Here is a 2,000-nt window from a genome sequence, read left to right on the forward strand (position 1 = left end):
AACTTGTTCAAGGGGACATAACCGTAGGTGGCCGTGCCAACAGGAAACCCCAGGAAGTCTGGCTTCAGAGCCATTCCCTTTAGCTCTGATGGCACACTGTCTTGTAGTTCAGTCTTCAAATGCCACAGCCTCTGGGCCATCATTTCCTCCTCCCGGGGTTCTCCATGAAAGCCCCACACTCATGGTTCTGTGCAGGCAGCTGCTCTCCATTTGTCATTGGTGCTGCCCTGGGCTACCCTCCACTGGCCTTCCTTGGGCTGCCATCCTGCGAGCAGCTGCCATTGTTTCATAGGCAATGGGCCCAACTGTGTCAGAGGATCCCACCATGGGCGGAGGGGTGGGGAGGGGTGGCTCTTATCGCCATGGTGACTGGCATGGGAGGGGCTTGACTAGGAGAGCCAGCAGGGCAAGAACTATCACTCCTCTCCCACCCTCAGACTCACTTGCCGGTGACCAAGTCTGGCTCACAACATCAGACATTTCTTTCCTTTAGGAGGATTTAGATTTTAGAGGTCCTAATTCAGTCTGGACTCTGGTTTCATACAATAGAATCTGGCAGTGGTAAACTTAACCATATGGGGAATGGATCAGAAGAGTATGAAGTAACCCAGCAAAAGGCTGGCATCTTGCAAAGGTGGATGGAGCCAAGACTCTTCTGAGATTTCATAAGGTATGTTCCTTTAAAATAGGAAGGGCATTTGGATTCTGGAAAGAGAGGAGGGAGAAACAGAAAGATCACGCCCCTTTCCCTTAGGATTTGGTATCTGCCTCAACTCCCTCAGTCTGTTAAATAGGTGGAATATGCCTGAACTCAGATTCTGGCCTTCTTCTTGTAAAAAGGCCCCTCCCTAACCTTGCGTCAATTAGCTGGTACTGACAGGACTGGGAAGGTCGTTGCAGGCCCCATCTGGGCATAGCAAGGTATCCTTAGTATGTTGGAATATTGAGTCATTTTTTTCGTAATAGTGGCTTTGCTGCCTGAAACAAAGAATAGCCAAATGAAGGGATGAGCAGTTTTCCAGCAATGATTTGTCCAAGTAAAATCATGGTACCATCCAACATTGCGAGACATCTGCAGGGTGAGAGCTACAGCAACGCCTCTGACAAATGGAATGCTGAACTTGAGACATGATTTATGCAACTATTTCTCACCTCTTTATTCCACATTCCAATCTTAGGATAACATTTAAAATCTTAATGTTGTTTTCAGGAATAGCCAATAAAATAAATCGGCTCTGCTTTTGTCACTGCTGGAAGTTTTGTTTTTCTTTATGAAAACTCCTTAAATACAAAACAAATACGTAATGAAAATGTGAGAAACATAGCTAAATATGAAGTACCGGGTTTTAATGAATTTATAATTTAGAAATGCAAAAACAACTTAGATTGCAGGTAGTAGACTTGGCAGATGCAAATTTGTTTTATCCTTGCAATAAGTTTCAGAAATTAAAAAAAAAAATCATTGGGTGCAAACAAAGTTATCAATGAACATGTTCATTTTGACCATATTCACTTTGGGTGGGGCATTTCACATAGCACCAGAGACATGTGAAGCCTTTGGGGCAGCCAAGATTGCCTGAAAATTATTTTGAAATTAAAAATTTTACTAACAAGTGCATTTCTTTTTTTTGAGACAGTGTCTTGCTCTGTCACACATGCTGTGCAATGATGTGAACATGGCCCACTGCAGCCTTGACCTCTTGGGCTCAAGTGGTCTTTTTGCCTCAACTTCCCTTGTAGCTGGAACCACAGGCATGCATTACCATGCCTGGCTAATTAAAAAAAATTTTTTTTTGTAGAGATGGGCTCTTCCCATCTTGCCCAGGTTAAATGCATTTTTAAAAAGCATGTCGTATAAAAGCAGAGTTCACAGAAACCAAAAGCACCCCCAAATCCTGAAAACTGGCTAAAATAAAATAAACTGTCACCAACTATTCAACAGTAAAAAAATTGATTTATGAGATATTAAACAAAACGAAAGAAAAACCAGTGACTAATTA

At 42.8% G+C, this 2,000-nt stretch overlaps 1 long non-coding RNA gene across 1 annotated transcript; it reads left to right on the forward strand.

Moving 5' to 3' along the window:
• Positions 1 to 371: 371 nt before the first annotated feature.
• LOC124903770 (uncharacterized) lies at positions 372 to 1,247 on the forward strand. Its single transcript, XR_007065194.1, has 2 exons — positions 372 to 670; positions 967 to 1,247. It is a non-coding gene; the product is annotated as an uncharacterized LOC124903770 (long non-coding RNA).
• The last annotated feature ends 753 nt before the right edge of the window (positions 1,248 to 2,000 follow it).

This window comes from Homo sapiens, chromosome 16 (assembly GCF_000001405.40).
Source record: "Homo sapiens chromosome 16, GRCh38.p14 Primary Assembly".
Classification (NCBI taxonomy): Eukaryota; Metazoa; Chordata; class Mammalia; order Primates; family Hominidae; genus Homo; species Homo sapiens.